This window comes from Homo sapiens, chromosome 15 (genome assembly GCF_000001405.40).
Source record: "Homo sapiens chromosome 15, GRCh38.p14 Primary Assembly".
NCBI classification, from domain to species: Eukaryota; Metazoa; Chordata; class Mammalia; order Primates; family Hominidae; genus Homo; species Homo sapiens.
This window is the reverse complement of record NC_000015.10, coordinates 89,797,424-89,816,717: the sequence shown is the minus strand read 5'-3', so window position 1 is coordinate 89,816,717 and position 19,294 is coordinate 89,797,424. Positions and strand designations below refer to the sequence as shown.

General features: G+C 57.0%; 1 protein-coding gene across 3 annotated transcripts in view, besides 27 other annotated features; it reads left to right on the top strand.

Moving 5' to 3' along the window:
- Window positions 776-1,930: a promoter, noted in NCBI's record as "1.15 kb XbaI/HaeII fragment used in reporter constructs". NCBI's record gives its function as "drives ANPEP expression in transfected NIH3T3 fibroblastic, KG1a myeloblastic, U937 myelomonocitic, 293T embryonic kidney, 1F6 melanoma and Jurkat T lymphoblastic cells {active_cell/tissue: NIH3T3 | KG1a | U937 | HEK293T | 1F6 | Jurkat}" and the evidence as "EXISTENCE:reporter gene assay evidence [ECO:0000049][PMID:1675638, PMID:7721782, PMID:15138629, PMID:12917399, PMID:16685268, PMID:11029758]".
- Window positions 776-2,297: a biological region, named in NCBI's record as "ANPEP distal promoter". NCBI's record gives its function as "regulatory_interactions: ANPEP".
- Window positions 1,442-1,570: a transcriptional cis regulatory region, noted in NCBI's record as "-411 to -291 region present in the -411luc construct but absent in the -291luc construct". NCBI's record gives its function as "positively regulates the -411 to +65 ANPEP distal promoter in transfected KG1a myeloblastic cells {active_cell/tissue: KG1a}" and the evidence as "EXISTENCE:reporter gene assay evidence [ECO:0000049][PMID:7721782, PMID:9566892]".
- Window positions 1,442-1,570: a protein binding site, noted in NCBI's record as "Ets-1 binding probe". NCBI's record gives its function as "binds Ets-1 in COS-7 cells {active_cell/tissue: COS-7}" and the evidence as "EXISTENCE:protein binding evidence [ECO:0000024][PMID:7721782]".
- Window positions 1,442-1,930: a promoter, noted in NCBI's record as "-411 to +65 fragment used in the -411luc reporter construct". NCBI's record gives its function as "drives ANPEP expression in transfected KG1a myeloblastic, U937 myelomonocitic, Jurkat T lymphoblastic, HL-60 myeloid and NIH3T3 fibroblastic cells {active_cell/tissue: KG1a | U937 | Jurkat | HL-60 | NIH3T3}" and the evidence as "EXISTENCE:reporter gene assay evidence [ECO:0000049][PMID:7721782, PMID:10477683, PMID:9786929, PMID:9566892]".
- Window positions 1,475-1,492: a protein binding site, noted in NCBI's record as "CD13 myb probe". NCBI's record gives its function as "binds Myb in COS-7 cells {active_cell/tissue: COS-7}" and the evidence as "EXISTENCE:protein binding evidence [ECO:0000024][PMID:7721782, PMID:10477683]".
- Window positions 1,483-1,485: a transcriptional cis regulatory region, noted in NCBI's record as "bases mutated in the Mybmut construct". NCBI's record gives its function as "positively regulates the -411 to +65 ANPEP distal promoter in transfected KG1a myeloblastic, U937 myelomonocitic and Jurkat lymphoblastic T cells, important for cooperative Myb and Ets effects in C33A epithelial cells, and necessary for inhibitory Myb/Maf complex formation in immature myeloblastic cells {active_cell/tissue: KG1a | U937 | Jurkat | C33A | immature myeloblast}" and the evidence as "EXISTENCE:site-directed mutagenesis evidence [ECO:0005528][PMID:7721782, PMID:9566892]".
- Window positions 1,503-1,532: a transcriptional cis regulatory region, noted in NCBI's record as "-330 to -360 region deleted in the Etsdel construct". NCBI's record gives its function as "positively regulates the -411 to +65 ANPEP distal promoter in transfected KG1a myeloblastic cells {active_cell/tissue: KG1a}" and the evidence as "EXISTENCE:reporter gene assay evidence [ECO:0000049][PMID:9566892]".
- Window positions 1,524-1,543: a protein binding site, noted in NCBI's record as "Ets C probe". NCBI's record gives its function as "binds DMP1 in KG1a myeloblastic cells {active_cell/tissue: KG1a}" and the evidence as "EXISTENCE:protein binding evidence [ECO:0000024][PMID:9786929]".
- Window positions 1,531-1,534: a transcriptional cis regulatory region, noted in NCBI's record as "bases mutated in the -411 Luc Ets C Mut construct". NCBI's record gives its function as "positively regulates DMP1 transactivation of the -411 to +65 ANPEP distal promoter in transfected NIH3T3 fibroblasts {active_cell/tissue: NIH3T3}" and the evidence as "EXISTENCE:site-directed mutagenesis evidence [ECO:0005528][PMID:9786929]".
- Window positions 1,798-2,297: an enhancer, noted in NCBI's record as "H3K27ac-H3K4me1 hESC enhancer chr15:90357653-90358152 (GRCh37/hg19 assembly coordinates)". NCBI's record gives its function as "activates a minimal SCP1, AML or CMV promoter by ChIP-STARR-seq in primed H9 embryonic stem cells {active_cell/tissue: H9 hESC(primed)}" and the evidence as "EXISTENCE:reporter gene assay evidence [ECO:0000049][PMID:30033119]".
- Window positions 1,822-1,827: a transcriptional cis regulatory region, noted in NCBI's record as "bases mutated in the pMyo/mut construct". NCBI's record gives its function as "positively regulates the 1.15 kb ANPEP distal promoter in transfected Jurkat T lymphocytic cells {active_cell/tissue: Jurkat}" and the evidence as "EXISTENCE:site-directed mutagenesis evidence [ECO:0005528][PMID:11029758]".
- Window positions 1,866-19,294, top strand: part of ANPEP (alanyl aminopeptidase, membrane) — a 29,958-nt gene continuing 12,529 nt past the window's right edge. The window contains exons 1-15 of one of the 3 annotated variants that reach the window (NM_001150.3): window positions 1,866-1,946; window positions 9,912-10,748; window positions 11,255-11,397; window positions 11,501-11,640; window positions 12,101-12,227; window positions 12,311-12,465; window positions 12,716-12,829; window positions 12,928-13,071; window positions 13,211-13,276; window positions 13,414-13,479; window positions 15,111-15,283; window positions 15,531-15,607; window positions 17,159-17,292; window positions 17,403-17,458; window positions 18,996-19,143. In NM_001150.3, coding sequence (NP_001141.2) covers window positions 10,135-10,748; window positions 11,255-11,397; window positions 11,501-11,640; window positions 12,101-12,227; window positions 12,311-12,465; window positions 12,716-12,829; window positions 12,928-13,071; window positions 13,211-13,276; window positions 13,414-13,479; window positions 15,111-15,283; window positions 15,531-15,607; window positions 17,159-17,292; window positions 17,403-17,458; window positions 18,996-19,143 — 2,157 coding nt within the window. In that variant the 5' untranslated portion in view covers window positions 1,866-1,946; window positions 9,912-10,134. Of the gene's footprint in view, window positions 1,947-9,908; window positions 10,749-11,254; window positions 11,398-11,500; window positions 11,641-12,100; window positions 12,228-12,310; window positions 12,466-12,715; window positions 12,830-12,927; window positions 13,072-13,210; window positions 13,277-13,413; window positions 13,480-15,110; window positions 15,284-15,530; window positions 15,608-17,158; window positions 17,293-17,402; window positions 17,459-18,995; window positions 19,144-19,294 lie in introns of those variants that run through there. The other 2 variants (NM_001381923.1, NM_001381924.1) reach the window with 2 other exon arrangements.
- Window positions 7,251-7,395: an enhancer, noted in NCBI's record as "145 bp enhancer 170 fragment used in the MPRA reporter construct; PK_construct_1033". NCBI's record gives its function as "activates an SV40 promoter by MPRA in HepG2 cells {active_cell/tissue: HepG2}" and the evidence as "EXISTENCE:reporter gene assay evidence [ECO:0000049][PMID:23512712]".
- Window positions 7,317-7,328: a transcriptional cis regulatory region, noted in NCBI's record as "FOXA motif; enhancer activity is reduced when this motif is scrambled". NCBI's record gives its function as "necessary for full activity of MPRA enhancer 170 in HepG2 cells {active_cell/tissue: HepG2}" and the evidence as "EXISTENCE:site-directed mutagenesis evidence [ECO:0005528][PMID:23512712]".
- Window positions 8,390-10,182: a promoter, noted in NCBI's record as "1.8 kb SacI/BamHI fragment used in the hAPN transgene". NCBI's record gives its function as "drives ANPEP expression in transgenic mice {active_cell/tissue: kidney | small intestine | liver | lung}" and the evidence as "EXISTENCE:transgenic organism evidence [ECO:0001131][PMID:15840518]".
- Window positions 9,126-10,134: a promoter, noted in NCBI's record as "1 kb BstXI fragment used in reporter constructs". NCBI's record gives its function as "drives ANPEP gene expression in transiently transfected NIH3T3 fibroblastic, KS1767 endothelial, EOMA endothelioma, 1F6 melanoma and HUVEC epithelial cells, and in stably transfected EOMA cells {active_cell/tissue: NIH3T3 | KS1767 | EOMA | 1F6 | HUVEC}" and the evidence as "EXISTENCE:reporter gene assay evidence [ECO:0000049][PMID:1675638, PMID:12406907, PMID:14507917, PMID:17897790, PMID:16685268, PMID:11157481]".
- Window positions 9,740-10,021: a transcriptional cis regulatory region, noted in NCBI's record as "-350 to -68 region present in the pGV-B-APN construct but absent in the delta pGV-B-APN construct". NCBI's record gives its function as "ATBF1-mediated negative regulation of the -350 to -68 ANPEP proximal promoter in transfected Caco-2 intestinal cells {active_cell/tissue: Caco-2(+ATBF1-A)}" and the evidence as "EXISTENCE:reporter gene assay evidence [ECO:0000049][PMID:10623580]".
- Window positions 9,740-10,131: a promoter, noted in NCBI's record as "-350 to +43 fragment used in the pGV-B-APN reporter construct". NCBI's record gives its function as "drives ANPEP expression in transfected Caco-2 intestinal cells {active_cell/tissue: Caco-2}" and the evidence as "EXISTENCE:reporter gene assay evidence [ECO:0000049][PMID:10623580]".
- Window positions 9,982-10,019: a transcriptional cis regulatory region, noted in NCBI's record as "38 bp -153 to -115 sequence present in the -153 construct and absent in the -115 construct, and also deleted in the delta38bp mutant 1 kb promoter construct". NCBI's record gives its function as "positively regulates activity of the -153 and 1 kb ANPEP proximal promoters in transfected KS1767 and EOMA endothelial cells {active_cell/tissue: KS1767 | EOMA}" and the evidence as "EXISTENCE:reporter gene assay evidence [ECO:0000049][PMID:14507917, PMID:17897790]".
- Window positions 9,982-10,134: a promoter, noted in NCBI's record as "-153 promoter fragment used in the -153 or 153/luc reporter constructs". NCBI's record gives its function as "drives ANPEP expression in transfected KS1767 endothelial, EOMA endothelial and HepG2 liver cells {active_cell/tissue: KS1767 | EOMA | HepG2}" and the evidence as "EXISTENCE:reporter gene assay evidence [ECO:0000049][PMID:14507917, PMID:17897790]".
- Window positions 10,001-10,019: a protein binding site, noted in NCBI's record as "Ets-binding oligo". NCBI's record gives its function as "binds Ets factors in KS1767 endothelial cells {active_cell/tissue: KS1767}" and the evidence as "EXISTENCE:protein binding evidence [ECO:0000024][PMID:14507917]".
- Window positions 10,004-10,007: a transcriptional cis regulatory region, noted in NCBI's record as "bases mutated in the GGAG mutant constructs". NCBI's record gives its function as "positively regulates activity of the 1 kb ANPEP proximal promoter in transiently transfected KS1767 endothelial cells and stably transfected EOMA endothelial cells {active_cell/tissue: KS1767 | EOMA}" and the evidence as "EXISTENCE:site-directed mutagenesis evidence [ECO:0005528][PMID:14507917]".
- Window positions 10,015-10,047: a protein binding site, noted in NCBI's record as "-120 to -87 oligo that competes out c-Maf binding to a 153 bp probe in epithelial cells". NCBI's record gives its function as "binds c-Maf in KS1767 endothelial cells {active_cell/tissue: KS1767}" and the evidence as "EXISTENCE:protein binding evidence [ECO:0000024][PMID:17897790]".
- Window positions 10,020-10,134: a promoter, noted in NCBI's record as "-115 promoter fragment used in the -115 or 115/luc reporter constructs". NCBI's record gives its function as "drives ANPEP expression with reduced activity compared to the -153 promoter in transfected KS1767 and EOMA endothelial cells {active_cell/tissue: KS1767 | EOMA}" and the evidence as "EXISTENCE:reporter gene assay evidence [ECO:0000049][PMID:14507917, PMID:17897790]".
- Window positions 10,031-10,034: a transcriptional cis regulatory region, noted in NCBI's record as "bases mutated in the mutant -113 construct". NCBI's record gives its function as "positively regulates activity of the -153 ANPEP proximal promoter in transfected EOMA endothelial cells {active_cell/tissue: EOMA}" and the evidence as "EXISTENCE:site-directed mutagenesis evidence [ECO:0005528][PMID:17897790]".
- Window positions 10,061-10,066: a TATA box, noted in NCBI's record as "TATA box motif conserved in mammals". NCBI's record gives the evidence for it as "EXISTENCE:sequence similarity evidence [ECO:0000044][PMID:1675638]".
- Window positions 11,581-12,780: an enhancer, noted in NCBI's record as "CDK7 strongly-dependent group 2 enhancer chr15:90347169-90348368 (GRCh37/hg19 assembly coordinates)". NCBI's record gives its function as "activates an origin of replication core promoter dependent on BRD2, BRD4, P300/CBP, MED14 and CDK7 cofactors, with strong dependence on CDK7, by STARR-seq in HCT116 cells {active_cell/tissue: HCT116}" and the evidence as "EXISTENCE:reporter gene assay evidence [ECO:0000049][PMID:35650434]".

Below are 19,294 nucleotides of genomic sequence, written 5' to 3'. Positions count from 1 at the left end.
GCTCCGGGGGGAAGATTCTCTCCTGGCCTGATGTAGTGTTTTCCTTGGCTTGTCAGACATGGAGGAGATTATGCCAGATATGATAGTGGAGAGAGTCAGACATGCATGAGACTGGAGAGAGAAAAAAAACAAAATAGCCTCTGAGGTCTCACTCACAGCCTACTTACTCTTACTTTACACACAATTCTATATTCCGATATGTTTGTGACCTGGTTTTTAAGAGTACAGAGCAAATTAGGAAGGAGAAGCAAGGCTGCTACCTAGAGGTACCCTGGTCCTCCATGAAGTTTCCAAAAGAAGAGCAAGTGCAAGTAAAATAATAAAACACAGCCAGTCACAAAGCCATCAATTTGGACCATGCAGTGCAAGGCTTTAACTGTCCCAAGGATTCCAATCATGGATAAGGAAGAGCTTAAATTTGATTATAAATCTGAAAGTCTGGAAGTCAGCTTGAATATTGTGGTAGACATAATCATATCCTCCTCCTCAAAAGATGCCCTGGTTCTAATGCCCAGAATCTGTGAATATGTTATGCTACCCCACGAAGGGAAATTACAGTTGCAGGTGGAATTCAAGTTGCCAATCCATTGATTTAAAATAGAAAGATTACCCTGGATTATCTGGGTAGGCCCGATGTAATCACAAAGATGCTCACCAGTGGAAGCAAGAGGCAGAACAGTTGGTGTCAGAGTGACAGATTGTGAGAGACTGGTGGGCCACTGCTGGCTTTGAAGATGGATGGGGCCACCAGCCAAGGAATGTGGGCAGCTTCTAGAAGCCAGAAAAGCCAAAGAAACAGGTTCCCTTCCAGCCTCAAGAAAGCTGTATCCCTCAACCCCCTTGCTTTTAGTCCAGCGAGACCCATTTTGGACTTCTGATTTTACAAAACTTGTAAGATAGTAAATTAGTGTTGTTTTATGTTTGTGTTACGGCAGCCACAGGGAACCAATACAAATATTATCTGGTACCGCCCATTAAAGCTGCTCAGAGACAGGGAGCCCCACCCTGGCGGGGCTCCGGTGGCTGCACAACCTCTGCAAGCAGGATCAAGATGAGAGGCGCAGGCCAGGTGTGGTGGCTCACTCCTGTAATCTCAGCACTTTGGGAGGCCAAGGCGGGCGGATCACTTGAGGTCAGGAGTTCGAGACGAGCCTTACATGGTGAAACCCTGTCTCTACTAAAACTCCAAAAATTAACCAGGCGTGGTGGCGTGCACCTGTAGTCCCAGCTACTCGGGAGGCTGAGGCAGGAGAATCGCTTGAACCCAGGAGGAGGAAGTTGCAGTGAGCGGAGAAAGTGCCACTGCACTCCAGCGTGAGCGACAGAGCGAGACTCTGTCTCAAAAACAAATAAAGGAAAAAGAAAAAAATGAGAAGCGCGTGTTCCCGACTCCGGTGCTTTTTCGCAAGGTCGTGCTACTGCGCCTTCTGAACTACGAGTCCCAGGTACCAAGAAAGTTGAATTGCGTGCTGTGGCGGGTCCGTTATCTGCACCACCCGTCTGCACGGGATGCGCTGGCTTCCTGCCCCGGATGCACAAGGCTCCCTGCGGGACACTCAGGGCGAGGCTCTGAGCCCCTCCCCCGCGGCAGATGCCGTCCAGATGTGGCCGGCGGGTCCCGCGGGCTGCGGCGACAGGGACCCCGTCGGGGGCAGCAGGAGCCCTGGTGCATCCCAGGCCCCGGGGGGAAGGCCGGGCCGTCGGAGGAGCGGAGGAGCCCTGGGGGGCTCCCGGGAAGCCGCGGGCGGACGGGGGAGGAGCCCGGGCGGAGCTGCGGGCGGGCGGCCCGCTAGGGGTGAATCGGGTGGAGTAGTGGTCGGGTCCGGTTACTTCCCTTTAAAAAGACGGGAAAGGAGGAGTCCAGTGCTGGAGGGGCAGGGACGGCGGCGGCGCAGCTCGGAACCCGCCAGGGTCCAGGGTCCAGGTTCCAGCGCCCGGCGGCCCAGGCAAGTGGGGCGGGAGGGCGGGGGCTGCGGGCGCGGGTAGGGGTCGTGGGGCAGTTGGGTGCGCGGGAACCGAGGGAGCTGCAGACCCAGCGCTTGGCGCGTGCGGAGCTGGACTTCTGCGGCCGCGACGCCCCTCTTCCCAGATGGGTAAACTGAGGGCCAGGGAAAGCGAAGAATTCTTTTGGCCGAGCTCCCACTACGATCTCGCGGTCAAGTGGGTCCCCAGCGGGCCTCGCAGGGGTCGGAGGGGCTCCCATCTGGGGAGGGGGCCCCAGGGTGGGCGAGGGCGACGGGAGCCTGGGGAGGACGGACGGGGAGGGCGGCGGAGCGGAGCTAAGCTGCGGCGGGTGGACCCGGCTCGGCCGCGGCCACTCTGTCCCTGGTGGGTGGGGCGCGGCCGAAGGCAAAGGGCGAACCCGGCCCGCCTGTGGGGTCTCTGGCCAACACTGGGCTCAGAGGCCCTTTCTTTAACCTTAGATCTCGCTCCTCGGTCTAAAGCCTCCGCCGCAGCTCTCAGTGAAGAGGAAGGGGAACTCTAGGTGCTCAACGCCCGCGTTACAGTCGCGTTCTCCCTCGCTCCTACAACCCGGCCAAGATGCCGGGGCATGGATGGGGACCGAGGTTTGGGGGTTGTGGAGCCTATTCCACGCCCTCCCTGGTGAGCAACTGAGACAGATCCAGGGCCCCATTGCAATCCACTCTTGGTCTGGGAAAAGGTCCCCTAAACAGGGCCAATGGGATCCTTTCCCCAAATGACTCCAGAACGCACCCCCCCCCCCCAGCAGTGCGGTGGGCAGGGACGGCCCAGGTGGGCTATGTCCTGGGGTTTTGTGACTGGATCCCCACTCCTCCCCCACCTCAGCCCCTGGACTGCAACCCACCAGGCCGTGTTCGGGGGTGGTCAGAGCCCTGGTCTCAGCCAGACCTGAGGTCTGATGTGGCTTCATCCCTGAGTCTCTAAACGCCCTGGCCTTACTGGGCCTCAGTTAATTCACCTGTGAAAGGGGAGGCTTGGACCAGAGGGCCCCTCAGGGTATGTGTTTTGTGGAGGGGAGGTGGGCGTGTGGGGTAGGGGTGACCAGGAGGAAGTGGGGACAGCCTCTGTCCCACAGGAAGGCTGGCTAGCCCCAGTGGGTATGGGGGAGCTGGGCAGGGAAGAGGGTGGACTCCCCTCTCCCTGTGGGAGGGTGTGCTGGGCCCATGAGGCCCTCATCCACTCTCAGCCACCTTCCTGTGGAGCCCTAGCCTCGAAGGCCACACTATGAGTGCAAGGAGGCCACCCACAGCGCTGCTCCCGCTTCACAGGTGGGGAAACCGGCCCAGTGTCTTGAGGCAGCCCAGCCGCCTGCCCTGTGCTTCCCCCAGAGCCTTCTGGGGAATGAGACCTTCGTTACACGCTGGCGCTCCTTACACCCCTACAGCCTTTAAGCTAAGGCCTCCAGCCCCATCGCTGTAAGAATTGTATGCTAGGCATTCTGAGGACATAGATGGGGGTCCCCATGTCGGAAGGAGCCAAGGTGTTGGAACTGGGTCCAGTTCCTGGGCTGGCTCTGGTGGGAGATCTGGAACCCTATGCTGGGGCTCCTGGACAGCCCTGGAGGCATGGCATGGACAGTGTGTCAGCCGCACACCGAGGCCCTGGGGTGTCCTTATTCACATAGGCTGGCAGCCATCTATCCCTAGCCCGGGCTTCACCCCGGGTGCCTGTCACTCCTGGCCCTACAGTGGTCCCAGTCACACCTTGGAGGCAAGATGTGGGTCCTCCACAGGCCTGTGTCTGGAAGCAGCCCCCAGCACTCCCTGGCTAACAAGTTCTACTTCTGAGAACTACCCCCAGCTCCCAGCCCTGGTCTGGCCAAATGGGTGCGTGTCTTCTCCTGTGGTCTTCAACTCCCCTTGGCACGGCCACAGTAGATGTGAGGGGCTGTATGGGAGGACATTTTTAGGAGGCATATGTAGTTAAGCTGTGGAACCTGCTGCTAACTAGCTGTGTGGCCTTGGGCAAATCACTTAACCTTTCTGTGCCTCAGTGTCCTCATTTGCCAAATGGGGGTGATTATCCTGGTAGGGCACATAGTAGGTGCTCAGTTTCACCTACCATGTGTCTCACCAGGATAATCACCCCCCATTTGGCAGACAGGAGTTGCCAGGCAGGATCTGTGGCCCCACACAAACCCTATGTGTACTTCCCCCACCCACAAATGCCTCTGCTCCTTCCTCCTGTGTGCCCTGCATTGGGCTGAAGAGGCTGATGAGAGGCAACTTCCCATTGGGGCCTTCTGAGGTTCTTGCAGGAGGGGCAATGTCCAAGGCTCCCAGAGGAAGCACCCTGGGGTGATGCAGCTATGGGCGGAGGCCTCAGAAGCCTGGGAGAAAGCCAGGGGCCTGCGGGGACAGAGTGTGCCCTGGCCCAGGCCCAGCCTCGTCCCTACCCTTCTCGCTCACTGCTCCCTCAGAGCAGACAATGAGCCCCAGGTTGTCCCTGAGCTCCCAGTCTCATAGTTCACAGTCAGGGACACTGAGTGGGAGTGGGTGGGGCCTACCCAAGGACCCAGTGGTCGGGGATGGAGCATGGATAACACAGCAGCTCACCCGGCCACGGGTGCTCAGCTCTCCCGGCCACAGCCCCTCCCAGGCTCCTGGAGTCTTCATATTAGAGTAGAAAGCCTCTTGCACTTCACATCTGAGACCAAGGAGCCTCTCCCCACCCACAAGTGTGGGTGTCTTCCACACTGTGACTGTGACTTAGTTATGCCCTGGCATGATCGTTGTCAACCTTCATGTTTTTTGGTTTTGGCTTTGGTTTTAGTTTAGAAGAACTTACGTTTTCTGGACTAAAACATAGGCAGGGAAGAAATACATAAACCCATAGAAAGGCTGCTTTAGTTGAAGTGGGTTGAGAGCTCGGCTTCTACCCCGTCAAGAAATTCACAGCGAAAGGAACACATGCATTTTGCTCACTGGCAGAAAGAGCCTGCACCAAAGACAACCCGCAGGGCCAGCAACCCCAACATCATACAGGGTGGAGCAGCAGTTCCCAAAGCGGGTGCAACTGGACAGGATCCTTTTAGGAGCTACCTAGAGGAACAATTTTTTCTTTTTTTCTTTTTTTTTTTTTTTTTACTTGAGATGGAGTCTCACTCTGTCGCCCAGGCTGGAGTGCAGTGGCACGATTTCGGCCCACTGCAACCTCCGCCTCCCGGGTTCATGCCATTCTCCTGCCTCAGCCTCCCGAGTAGTTGGGATTACAGGCGCCCACCACCACGCCCGGCTAATTTTTTGTATTTTTAGTAGAGATGAGGTTTCACCGTGTTAGCCAGGATGGTCTCGATCTGCTGACCTCGTGATCCGTCCGCCTCAGCCTCCCGAAGTGCAGGGATTACAAGCATGAGCCAACACGCCCGGCCCAGGAACAATTTTTAAACCAATAGTCATGAATTGTTAATATAAATTAACACATCCAACCATGATTTTATCGCTCAGAAGGAGGCTAAGAAAGTGAATTGATTTAAAGAAAAATACGAAGTAAATAATCACAAAGGTGGATCACGAAGGTGGTTTGTGCACAGCCCAGAAGCCCAGGAAGGAATGTCGGGTAGAGAGGGTGGAACCTGTCCCGAGGATCAAGGCTCTGAAGTTCCATCCTTAACTGCTGTCTCTCATTCTTGCACTGATGCCCCATTCCACAAGCACGTGTTGCCCTCCCACTGCACGCCAGGTGTAGAGGATACGGCACACCTGGTGCTACCCTCATGGAGGCACTTGGAGGGCTGCCTGGGGGCAGCACCACTGACTTGTGTCTCCAGGGCAAGTGGGGAGTGGATGAAGCAAAGGCAGGAAGCTTTCCAGGCCCAAGGATCAGCTTGTGTGTAGGGAGGAAGGGAGAATGAAGCGGGGAAAAGCAGGTTGGATTTGAACTGAAAGAGGCCACTGGGGTGGAGCACAGAAGTGACAGGGGAGAGCGTTTGAGATGAGGCCAGAGAATCACTGGGGGCTGGATCACACAGGCCCTGTAGGTCACGGCAAGGACTGTGGGTGTTGTCATTCATTTGGCCAACATGTATTGGGCTCCTGCCTTGTGCTGGGCATGGAGGGGCATACGATGCCACCAGGCCTTCCTTTGAGGTGCTTGGGTGCAGCAGCAGGCTTTTGAACACACTGGTAGCATTTTTCTTTTTCTTTTTTTTTTTTCTTTTTTGAAACAGAGTCTCGTTCTGTTGTCGTCCAGACTGGAGTGTAGTGGCACGATCTCCGCCCACTGCAACCTCCACCTCTTGGGTTCGAGCGATTCTTCCGCCTCAGCCCCCCAAGTAGCTGGGACTACAGGCGTGCGCCACCACGTCCAGCTAATTTTGTATTTTTATTTATTTATTTATTTATTTATTTATTTTTTGAGACAGAGTCTTACACCGTCCCCCAGGCTGGAGTACAGTGGCACAATCTCGGCTCACTGCAACCTCTGCCTCCCGAGTTCAAGCGATTCTCCTGCCTCAGCCTCCTGAGTAGCTGGGATTACGGGCACCTGCTACCATGCCCAGCTAATTTTTTGTATTTTTATTAGAGACGAGGTTTCACCATGTTGGCCAGGCTGGTCTCCAACTCCTGACCTCGTGATCTGCCCACCTCAGCCTCCTAAAGTGCTGGGATTACAGGCATGAGCCACCGCGCTCAGCCTCAGTGGCATTTTCCTAAGTGCTGTGATAGAGGTGGGAACTGGAGACTGGGGAAGCGCAGAGGGGAGTGGGGGCTGGTGTGCATGATAAGGCAGTGACATTGAGTTGGGTTTTGAAGGATGAGTAGGAGTTTGACAAGAGGGAGAGGAAAGGCATTCCTGGCAGTGGGAACAGAATGAGCAAAGTCACAGAGGTATGAAAAAGCCCCGATGATCTGGGGAGACGCTGGCAGCTGGAGCCACAGTGGGCAGTAGAAAGAGGACAGGCCAGAGGGTCAAGTTCACAGAAGGTATTAAGGCCCAAGCCAGAGTTAAGGTTTCACTCTGCAGGTTGGGCACCAGGTTTGAATGGGAGAGTCCCACCCACACTCTTAGGCAGAGCCCTCTGCTGACGTGTGCTGGTGGGGTTGGGTGACAGGGGAGGGTAGCATAGCCGCCACTGCCCGATGGGGTGTGGAGGTGGCCAGGCCTGGGCTGTGGCAGGGGACTGGACGAGGGAAGCCCTTTTGTGTGTTCCTGAAGGTGGGGGCTGCAGAGCATGGCTGTCTCTGTGCCCCCAGCCTGGGTTGGCCTGGTGCCTAGAGCAGGGACCTCTCATTATAGAGCCAACTTTGGGCTACCTGCTGCACCAACTTGGAAGACCAGAGGCCTTGTCCAGAAGAGTAAAGATTCCAGCCAGCTGGGCCTATGGTCTGAATCCAAAGCAAACAGGAAGAGAGTATGGTGGGCCAGGCAGGGCCTCTTTCTTTGTTTAGAAAAGGGATTAGTCCAGGCCGACTTGTGGGTCTTTCTGCTGCAAAGGTGGGAGGGGGCTGCAGGCTCCGTCAGGGACATATCAAAAGGCTTTTCAGGGGCAGGCATGGTGCCCCAGTGCCAGCCTGGGGGGTGCTGTAAAGATGGGCTCCCTTGGCGAATTCCATCCACCCTGATGGGAGGAGCCTGGCAGCATGTGCTGGGAGCCACTGCTCCTTCTCTCACCACGCCCAAGCTGGAGCCCTTCCTGACACCTGATTTCGCACGATTGCCCCTTGGGGTCATCACCCAAGCCTAATGGGGTGTCTGCTAGTCACTGCAGTGGGAGGTCCATCCTGGTCCCAGACCAAGGCCCCTTGGGGAAATGCCAAAGGCTCAGAACACCCTCAGTCTCAAAGGTGGGCACCCAGGACTCCCCTAAAGACCCTGGGCTCAGACTCGGCCTCCATACACCAGACGAGAGGCGGCAGGTATTTGTGTTTTGCTTATGCCTGATTGAACTAATCCACGTGTCCCTTCAGTTCACACATTGCATTTATTTAAGAAGCCTTCCTGCAAGCTCAGGGGTGGCAGGGGTGGCAGGGGTGGCAGACGAGTGAGGCCCTCAGGGAGCAGAGCTGAGGGAGCAGGAAGGCATGTGGGGCCCTGACATGCTGGGGCCTGGCACGAGTCCGGCCTGCCTGCCATGCTTGGAGAAGGGCTCAGAAGAGGCAGGCACTTCTTCTGGGGGCAGGTGTGGGGTGGGGACAAGCTGGGAGACAGAGGCCAGAAAGACTTTGGTAAGGAGTTTCTCCTGGACTGACTCATTCATTCATTTACTCAATCCTTCGTGCATGTGCGCATCCACTCAACATCTCAGTAATGAGGACCTACTGTGTGCCAGGCACTGTGCTAAGTGCTGGTGAGGCCCTGCTGTCATGGGGCCTGCAGTCCAGGACTCAAGTTATCACCACACAGATCAAAGGGAAAACCACGCTGAGTTCTGGGGCTTTGCAGAACAGGTCTGTGGAGCTAATGGAGCTCATAGGAGCTTGACTTGGTCAGGGAGGTCAGGGCGGCTTCGCTGCGGAAGACTTGTAGGATGGAAAGGAATTAACCAAGGCAATAGGGAAGAGAAGATCCAGGCAGAGGGAACAGGTTGTGCCAAGGCCCTGGGGCTTGATGAAGGCCAGAGTGGCTGGGGTACTGCAACAGGGGGGAAGAGGCCAGGAAATGGGCAGGCTGACTGTACCCGGGCTTGTGGGTGCCTTTAGAAGGTCTGGTCTGGACTCTACAAGCAAAAGGAAGGTTTTTTTTAGCAGTGGCATAAAATGATCCAATTTGTGTTGAGCAGGTTCAAGCAGGCCCGAATGGAGGCAGGGAGTCCATAGGGGCGCTGCTGTGTCCACATAAATGATGAGAATGGTTTTGACCAAGTGCATCTTGCGATGGGGGAATGTGGGTGAATTGGATGTGGAGTGAGGTCAGGCGGTGTCGAGGTCTGAGAAACTGGGCTGGTGGATGGGGAAAGTGACAATGAACATAATTTTCCTGTAAGGTGTGTATTTTATTTTGTATGGTAAGTAATATCTTCATTTCTACCAAGGATAGAAAGAGGCAATTGTTGAGCTTTGGGTAAGAAAGAAGGGAACGATTTTTTTCTTTTTTCTTTTGAGTCTCACTCTGTCACCCAGGCTGGAGTGCAGTGGTGCGATCTCAGCTCACTGCAATCTCTGCCTCCCGGATTCAAGCAATTCTCTGCCTCAGCCTCCCAAGTAGCTGGGATTACAGACGCCCGCCACCACGCCCAACTAATTTTTTTTGTATTTTTAGTAGAGACGGGGTTTCGCCATGTTGGCCAGGCTGGTCTTGAACTCCTAACCTCGTGATCCACCCACCTCGGCCTTCCAAAGTGCTAGGATTACAGGCGTGAGCCACCACGCCCAGCCGGGAATGATTTTTAATCATTCTACTATTTGGTGTTTAATATGTTTTCTCACTAAATCTGTTCAACAAACCTGAGAGGCAAATACTGTTATTTATTTATGAGGAGAGAGGTTCAGAAGGGTAAAGTTACCTGCTCAAGGTCACAGCTGGAAAGAGGTGAAGCCTTCAGCAAAAAAAGCAAAACAACTCATTTCATTTTATTCCGTGAGCTGATAATGGAGGAAAAAGTATTTGGCAAGAAGCGGCAGGGAGGGGAACCTGGAGGAACTCCCTGCTCTTGAAGAATGCAAGGGAGGCTGGGACCTTGTCACTGAGGAGCCCCTGGCATCCTTCCAGAGATGCAACCAAAGGGGTGACCCCAGTGTGTTCTTAATAGGAGCCGGGAACCCCTTCTCTGTGCACCTCCCACCTCTTGCCCCTGGGAAGTCCTTCCCTGACTCTAACCTCAGTTCTGATGCTGTTCCCACCCTCTCAGCTCTCAAGCAGATCAATGCAATGCCACCTGGCCGCTTGCTTTGCCCACTGGGCCTACAGCCGGAAGCCTGCCCTTCAGCCCTCGGGCCTGATCCCAGGCCGCCTGCAGCCTGTAACCAGACACTGTTTGCTTCCAGCAGGCACCCCCCGAGCCCAGCTCCACACACCGTTCCTGGATCTCCTCTCCCCAGGCGGAGCGTGCCCCTGCCCAGTCCAGTGACCTTCGCCTGTTGGAGCCCTGGTTAATTTTTGCCCAGTCTGCCTGTTGTGGGGCTCCTCCCCTTTGGGGATATAAGCCCGGCCTGGGGCTGCTCCGTTCTCTGCCTGGCCTGAGGCTCCCTGAGCCGCCTCCCCACCATCACCATGGCCAAGGGCTTCTATATTTCCAAGTCCCTGGGCATCCTGGGGATCCTCCTGGGCGTGGCAGCCGTGTGCACAATCATCGCACTGTCAGTGGTGTACTCCCAGGAGAAGAACAAGAACGCCAACAGCTCCCCCGTGGCCTCCACCACCCCGTCCGCCTCAGCCACCACCAACCCCGCCTCGGCCACCACCTTGGACCAAAGTAAAGCGTGGAATCGTTACCGCCTCCCCAACACGCTGAAACCCGATTCCTACCGGGTGACGCTGAGACCGTACCTCACCCCCAATGACAGGGGCCTGTACGTTTTTAAGGGCTCCAGCACCGTCCGTTTCACCTGCAAGGAGGCCACTGACGTCATCATCATCCACAGCAAGAAGCTCAACTACACCCTCAGCCAGGGGCACAGGGTGGTCCTGCGTGGTGTGGGAGGCTCCCAGCCCCCCGACATTGACAAGACTGAGCTGGTGGAGCCCACCGAGTACCTGGTGGTGCACCTCAAGGGCTCCCTGGTGAAGGACAGCCAGTATGAGATGGACAGCGAGTTCGAGGGGGAGTTGGCAGATGACCTGGCGGGCTTCTACCGCAGCGAGTACATGGAGGGCAATGTCAGAAAGTGAGTTCCGGCTGGGCTGCCCGGTGGGGTGGATCCGAGGTGCTGAGGCAAGGCTGGATTCTGAGGGCCAAGGAAGGACTTAGCTTGCAGGCCTTTGAACCCTGTGGAGCCCGAGACTGGCCCATTGCTTCACCTCCAGCTGCTGGCAAAGCAGCTGCAAATGCACCGAACTGGGAGGGCTTCCCCACCCCTCACCAGGGAGCTGGGGATGAGGGACAGAGCGTCCCTTGGACAGACAGGAAAACCGAGGCTCAGAGGAGAGAAACTCACCCGAGGTCCCTGAGAGCCTGCTGGCACCCCGAATCCAGAAGGAGCCCCAACCCCCACGAGTCAGCTGGCCTGGCAGGGCTCCGGAGGCTCCCGGCGAGGCGGGGGTGGGAGCAGGAGCAGGGGTTAGGCTGGGGCAGCCTTCCATGTACCCCTTTCCCTGCATGCCTGGTAGCATCCTCAGAGCCCCTCCCACACCCCCAGCTCTGGCACACCCTCTAACCTTCCTGTTGGGGCAGGGTGGTGGCCACTACACAGATGCAGGCTGCAGATGCCCGGAAGTCCTTCCCATGCTTCGATGAGCCGGCCATGAAGGCCGAGTTCAACATCACGCTTATCCACCCCAAGGACCTGACAGCCCTGTCCAACATGCTTCCCAAAGGTGAGTGGGCCCTGCCTGCGGCCACAGGGCCAGGGGGCAGGCACCCTGGGCTGGGGTGTGGGGCAGGAGGGTACGTCCTCACACACACATGCTCCCTGCCCAGGTCCCAGCACCCCACTTCCAGAAGACCCCAACTGGAATGTCACTGAGTTCCACACCACGCCCAAGATGTCCACGTACTTGCTGGCCTTCATTGTCAGTGAGTTCGACTACGTGGAGAAGCAGGCATCCAATGGTGTCTTGGTATGAGGCTGGGCCCATCTCTCCTTCACGTGGGCTGGCCCCGGCTTGAGGGGTCTTCCCGTTCTCTTCATCCCTGTGCCAGTTTCTGAATTGTTAGGCCAGGGTTGGAATCCCACCTCTGAGTGATTTCAGGCAAGTGTCTTGTTCTCTGGTTCTCCATTTCTGCACCTGAAAAATGAAAACAATGGTTTCTCTTCATGAAGGGAGTTCCTGACCCACCGGTTACCAGACAGACGGTGGCTATGATGATTGTTATTCTCCAAAGGCCCTTCTCTAGGACCCACAGCCTCCAGACCCCAGTAGCGTTCCCCTCTGCTGACCAGGCCTCTAGGTTTAGCTTGATTGGCCTCCAGCCCTGGCCCATCAGGGATCCCCCCAGCCCACTGGGCCCTGGGACCCAGCCCACCTGCCCCAGGATCAAACAGGAGCCCCTGGTCTGCTTCTTCCTCACACCTTGCAGATCCGGATCTGGGCCCGGCCCAGTGCCATTGCGGCGGGCCACGGCGATTATGCCCTGAACGTGACGGGCCCCATCCTTAACTTCTTTGCTGGTCATTATGACACACCCTACCCACTCCCAAAATCAGGTGAGTGGGGGTCCTTGAGGAGGGAGGCAGTGGATGGAGCTCCACTCCCGGAGTTCATCCTGCCAATGGCATCGCCTCCCCAGACCAGATTGGCCTGCCAGACTTCAACGCCGGCGCCATGGAGAACTGGGGACTGGTGACCTACCGGGAGAACTCCCTGCTGTTCGACCCCCTGTCCTCCTCCAGCAGCAACAAGGAGCGGGTGGTCACTGTGATTGCTCATGAGCTGGCCCACCAGGTAGACCCCCATCTCGGGGAGTGCGGAGAAGGAAACAGGGGCTCCGAGAGGAGACGGCGCAAGTCCAGGCTCTGCCCCGGGCTGCTGAGAAGGGAGGAGGGTGCCGCCTGGCAGGGCAGCAGGAAGGGGTCACGATGGTGTTGAAATCCCCACTGTGCCTGGCAGATGGCCAGCCCTGGGGAGGGTAGTTCTGGGGATTCTCAGTGCCCAGCCTGGGCGTGGCTTGCCCAGCTGACCCCTCCCCCCACAGTGGTTCGGGAACCTGGTGACCATAGAGTGGTGGAATGACCTGTGGCTGAACGAGGGCTTCGCCTCCTACGTGGAGTACCTGGGTGCTGACTATGCGGAGCCCACCTGGAACTTGGTAAGCCAGCTGCCCAGGGGTCTGGTGCGGGGGGCATGGAGGGAGACCTGGGCCACCGCTACCAGGCCAGTCTCCTGATGGCCCTGGGGAATTTGCAGAAAGACCTCATGGTGCTGAATGATGTGTACCGCGTGATGGCAGTGGATGCACTGGCCTCCTCCCACCCGCTGTCCACACCCGCCTCGGAGATCAACACGCCGGCCCAGATCAGTGAGCTGTTTGACGCCATCTCCTACAGCAAGGTGCAGCCCGCTCCTCGTGGGGCACGGGGAAGGAGGTGGGGACTTGGCCTGGAGGGGCCTCACTGAAGGCAGGGTCTGGGGGCACAGGGTCCTGGTGGCTCTGCACAGCCTTCTGAGCGCCCCCTCACCCCCACCCCAGGGCGCCTCAGTCCTCAGGATGCTCTCCAGCTTCCTGTCCGAGGACGTATTCAAGCAGGGCCTGGCGGTGAGTACTGCACCCTGGGCCAGCCATGAGGGTGGGTCTCCTTCTGCCCCTCGCCCTTGACCCGGGCCTCTGCCCACCACAGAGGGGGAGCCTGGGGGGCTCCAGCTGTGCTCTCACTGTGCCCCGTCTTTCCACAGTCCTACCTCCACACCTTTGCCTACCAGAACACCATCTACCTGAACCTGTGGGACCACCTGCAGGAGGTCAGTAGCAGCCAGCCCCTCCACAGCCATCCTGTTGGGGTCTTGAGATGCTGAAGGTACCTGGGGGCAGCACATGCGTAAGAGAATGGGTCCAGCTCCGCGGCTGACCAGCCCTGCAGGGTGGATGGAGCCTCTGTTGCTCCTCCCTATAGTGGAAGCCGGGATGGCTCCTTGCAAGAGGTGTCTGAGTGAGGCTGTGGTTGAGGTCCTGGCCAGCAGCTGACCTCAGGCTACAGCGGGCTTCTTGATGGGAGCTGTAGAGCCCCTTCCTGGTGGTGAGGAAACTGCCCTCATGGTTCCCGCCTCTGCCTGGAACTCTGGAGCCTGACATTCAACCTTCTCCCCACTCCTGGCTGCCCTGTGCCCCCCGCTGGCGCCACGGGCATGTCTCTGCACACAGCTCCACCACCCTCAGCAGGAACTCTGCCCTCTGCCCCTGCCCCGGCTCGAGTTCCTCTCCATCAGACCCCGCACAGCCCCTGTTTGTAGGGCAGATCCCCAGACTGCCACACCCTCCTGCCTTCCCCCAGAGGCCGCCGCTCCTCTCCCTCCCCCAGGGTTGGAGTCCACCTCCTCTCCATCCTGCCCCCATCATTTCCGCTGACATCATTTCCCTGACAGCTGCCCCCTACCCCTTCCCTGCAGCTCTGCCCAATGCTAGCGTCTTAAGCCAGAGGACAGACATGTCCTCTCCTCACCGACAGCCCCTCCAGAGTTCCGAGCCTCAAATTCCCGTCCAGCTTCTACCCCACTGTTGCTGCTGCACTTCCAGTCCAGGCCTGTCTCACCAGGGAAGCGAGACCCAGGATCTTGTCACAGAGTCACAGCTGAGGTCCGGGTCCCTGCTGGGCAATTTCCAACCCCCTAGACCCCAAGATGCTGCTGACAAAATGACACTGTCATTGCCTGGGTCTCCCCCACTACCTTCCTTGCCCTGCCCCAACTTCCCCTTTGCGTTCCCTCCTAAGCCAAGCTCTCCTCCCTCTCACTCCTCTTTCCTGAGACCCTCGGCCGGCAGCCCCCAGCTGGTTCCTCCCCACATGCTCTTCTGCCCTCTGTGTGGCCCCGTTCTTAGGTGATTCCTTTCTTCAGTTATTAACAAATGGGGTTGGCTTTCTGTTGTGATGACAAAGGCAAGGCAGGTGCATGAGCAAAGATCCAAGAAGACAAGAAGACAACAACAGTGCCCCTGAGTCCCGCCCCACACCCCAGTCCGAGTGCACTTCCCTCATGCGACCCCCAGGGCCCCGTCCCCCACCCCTGCCTGTGACACCTGAACACTGGCTTTCTCTCATCTCTGTCTCCTCTTTCTTGTCCTCCTCCCAGTGTTGTTCAGGAAGAGCCATGGGCATCCTGGGCACCCCCTCCCTGACATACACACCTCAGGGTGGACCACAGAATGGAGGGCCTCATAGATTTGCTGGGAAGTTCTCCAGCTCGTCCAGCACTGAGCAGCCGAGGAGAGGCAGAGCTGGACGGTACCCTGGCTCCCGGCTCCCAGCCCAGTGCCCTTCCCAGGCCTCCCATACAAGTGGCCCCCCGGGGTCGAGGCGAGAATCTGCAGGAGATGCCCTGGATGGCAGGGACTGGAGGGTCCCACTGATGGCCACGCCCTCTCGCTCCACCCACAGGCTGTGAACAACCGGTCCATCCAACTCCCCACCACCGTGCGGGACATCATGAACCGCTGGACCCTGCAGATGGGCTTCCCGGTCATCACGGTGGATACCAGCACGGGGACCCTTTCCCAGGAGCACTTCCTCCTTGACCCCGATTCCAATGTTACCCGCCCCTCAGAATTCAAGTGAGCAGATGGGGTCACTGAGGCATGGTCAGGTGGGTGGGGTAGAGGGCAGTTACTAAGGGACCATAGTAGGACTGGCCTCCTGTGGTCCCAGCCCCAGCCACTGTAGACAGACCCTCCCTCCAGAGCCAGGAGTTCAGGGGCACTCGGTGCCAGAGCTGGGCAGAAGCTGGGAGCCTGGGCAGCTGCTCCTCACTGGCAGTGACCACACCGCCATCTCTCACCACCTCTGGATCTTTAATTGCAGCTACGTGTGGATTGTGCCCATCACATCCATCAGAGATGGCAGACAGCAGCAGGACTACTGGCTGATAGATGTAAGAGGTAATCCAGCCCTGCCTTATGGGCAGCAGCCCCCACCCCATACTCCTAGCTCCTGGCCCATGTTCTGAGGGCTGTGATGGGCCATTCCATTCAACAAATGGACTTGACTTCTTTGGTTCCAATCTCCACTTTGCTGCTGCTTCGCTGTGTGACTCTGGGCAAGTTACCATCCCGCTCTGGTCTCTAGTTCCTCTTCTATAAAATGAGGCTAAGAGCAATACTCCATTAGTTATGTGAGGATTAAAGGAGAGAATCCTAGGCCAGGCATGGTGGCTCATGCCTGTAATCCCAGCACTTTGGGAGGCCGAGGCGACCTGGGGTCAGGAGTTCGAGACCAGCCTGACAAACATGGAGAAACCCCATTTCTACTAAAAATACAAAATTAGCCAGGTGTGGTGGTGCATGCCTGTAATCCCAGCTACTCTGGAGGCTGGGGCAGGAGAATTGCTTGAACCTGGGAGGCAGAGGTTGCAGTGAGCCAAGATCGCACCATTGCACTCCAGCCTGGGCAACAAGAGCGAAACTCTGTCTCAAAAAAAAAAAAAAAAAAAAAAGGAGAGAATCCACATAAAATGCTTAAAGTAGTGCCTGGCACATGTTATGAGCAGCCCTACTCAGCAAGGCACTGAAGAAGCGAAGGGCATGACAAGTCATCCTTTGCCTTGGCCAAGGCTACAGATGAAGGAAGGCAAGAAGTTGGAGGCATTCTAGTGCTGTGCTGAGTGCTTTCAGAGTGTATGGTTGGGGCTAGTGAGGTATGGGGACATGGAGCAGGGAATAAGGGAGATTCAAGTTCATGGAGAGGTCAGGGAGGGCTTCCCGGAGGAGGTGAGCTGAGTCTTAGAGGAAGAGTAGGAATCAGACAGGCTAATGTGGCAGAGAAAAGAATTCCAGGCAAAGGGAATAGCAAGTGCCAGGGATAGAGGTAGGAGAGAGTGTGGGGACTGAGTGTAGCTAGGGCAGAGGTGTGCCCAAGAGATAAAGCTGGTCCCCAAGGGCCCCAGGGGCTGCAGGAGACAGTGGATGGGGCAGGTGGGAAATGAGCAACCTATTGGCCCTGACCTCTGGCTGCTGAAACAAAGTATGAGAGGAGTGAGGGAGGAGGGGGACCCACAGGGAGGAAGGGGCACTAAGCCCCAGAAAGAGACAGCAGCACTGGGGGTCTGGGTGAATGGGAGGGGAAGGGAGAGGAGGAGCTGCCTGTGGTTCCCACTTGGGTGACAGGTGTGATGGAGTGTGGAGGAGGGCAAGGAGGAGGAACAGCCTGGATTGCTGAGTGTGAGCGGCCTGGCAGCTGGCCTGGCCGTGCAGAGCCTAGGGAGGCAGGGCAGGTTCTGAGGTTTGGGGTGGCATGTCATCTTCATGGGTTGATGGTCTGTGAAGCCACTGGCAGCCCAGTTCCTCATCCCTTCCTTCCCCACCCTTAGCGTCTCCCCAGCAGCTTGAGGGTGAGGTGGTGCCAGGCTGCGGGGGCAGCTGCTCTTGCAAGAGGTCCAGGGGTCAGCCCATGGCCTCTGAGCAGCCCTGCCCAGGTCTCGTCCCTCTCCACAGCCCAGAACGATCTCTTCAGCACATCAGGCAATGAGTGGGTCCTGCTGAACCTCAATGTGACGGGCTATTACCGGGTGAACTACGACGAAGAGAACTGGAGGAAGATTCAGACTCAGCTGCAGAGAGACCACTCGGTGAGTGTCTGCCACCCCTCGCCCTGCCCCCTGCCCCAGGACAGGCACCAGACTGCAAGGCCTGCCACCCACAGCCAACCCATGGTCACATGCTGTGCTTCGCATTCTAGGCCATCCCTGTCATCAATCGGGCACAGATCATTAATGACGCCTTCAACCTGGCCAGGTGAGTGCTCCGCTGCCTGGCTCAGCTGCAGAAGCTCGTGACTTCAGCAAGTCTGAGTCCACAATGAGGGCCCCTGCTCCTCCTGCTGCCCTTCCCATATGCCACGTGCTGTGCCCTGAGCTCCTGTGCTCCCTGGACGTCCCTCCCTGGGTCCCCACACACCCATTTCACAGATGAAGAATGTGACACCTTGCCCGAAGTCACACAGTAGTTCATGACAGCCAGACAGAGGCTTGTCCAACTCCAAAGCCATCCTCTACTCCACAGCACCAAGCTTTTTGTTTTTGTTTTTGTTTGTTTGTTTGTTTGTTTGTTTGTTTTGAGACGGAGTCTCGCTCTGTTGCCCAGGTTGGAGTACAGTGGCGCGATCTCAGCTCACTGCAGCCTCCACCTCCCAGGTTCAAGCGATTCTCTGCCTCAGCCTCCCGAGTTGCTGGGATTACAGGTGTGCACCACCATGCCCAGCTAATTTTTGTATTTTTAGTAGAGATGGGGTTTCACCATGTTGGTCAGGCTGGTCTCGCACTCCTGACCTTGTGATCCACCCACCTCGGCTTCCCAAAGTGCTGGGATTACAGGCATGAGCCATGGCACCTGGCCATGCCCCCCCGCTTTTTTTTTTTGAGATGGAGTCTTGCTCTGTCACCCGGGCTGGAGTGCAGTGGCGTGATCTTGGCTCACTACGACCTCTGCCTCCTAGATTCAAGCGATTCTCCCTTCTCGGCCTCCTGAGTAGCTAGGATTACAGGCATGTGCCACCATGCCCAGCTGATTTTTGCATTTTTAGTACAGATGGGGTTTCACCATGTTGACCAGGCTGGTCTCAAACTCCTGACCTCAGGTGATCCACCTGCCTTGCCATCCCAAAGAGCTGGGATTATAGGTGTGAGCCACCGTGCCCAGCTGCACCAAGCTTTTCCTGAAGGCTGACTATGCTGGGCCACTGTTCTAAGTGCCAAAAATCTGGGCTGGACAGGGCAGGAGGGATGCAGTATGGATAAACAGGTACTTATTGAGCACCTACTCTGTTTGGGGTGAGGTACTCTAAGCTCTTGGACATGAGTGATGTCACCCACAGACAAGGACATTTGTGAGCTAAATGTGTACAGAAGGCAGGAGGAAGAAAGGCCTAGAGTGCCCAGAAAGTCAGAAGAGGTGGTCAGAGTTAAGAACACGGGCTTCTTGCCCTTTTAAATCTCAGCTCTGTCTCTCGTGAGGTGTGTGACCTTGGGCAAGTCACTTCACTTCTCTGAGCCTCAGTTTCCTCATCTGTAAAATGGGGATAATAAGCAAAGGAGTGGAACTGCCAATGGGTGAGGGTGGGGCCTTGTTTGTGGCACCACCCAGCAGCCATGTAGCTCTTTTTCCATGGCAAATGCCTGAGCTGGCTCAGTTGGGAATCTGGGACCTCCGGCTCCAGGAGTGGATACAGGGGGCCTAGGGGTGTGGAGCATCTTTGAGGGCCTGGGTTGGGGTTCCCAGGCTGTGGCTGGGCTGGGTGGAGGTGCTTTACTTGGGCCCCTCTGTTTATTCCCAGTGCCCATAAGGTCCCTGTCACTCTGGCGCTGAACAACACCCTCTTCCTGATTGAAGAGAGACAGTACATGCCCTGGGAGGCCGCCCTGAGCAGCCTGAGCTACTTCAAGCTCATGTTTGACCGCTCCGAGGTCTATGGCCCCATGAAGGTACGGAGGTGCATGGTAGGGTTCAAGAACCAGTTCGCCCCAGTGCCTGAAAGTGCACTATTAGGAAGTTAATAGACTATTGCCTACTGGACTCCTGGTCAGGGAACCTTCAAAAGCAAAACAAAAAACCAAAAAAAAAGAAAGATTGCCT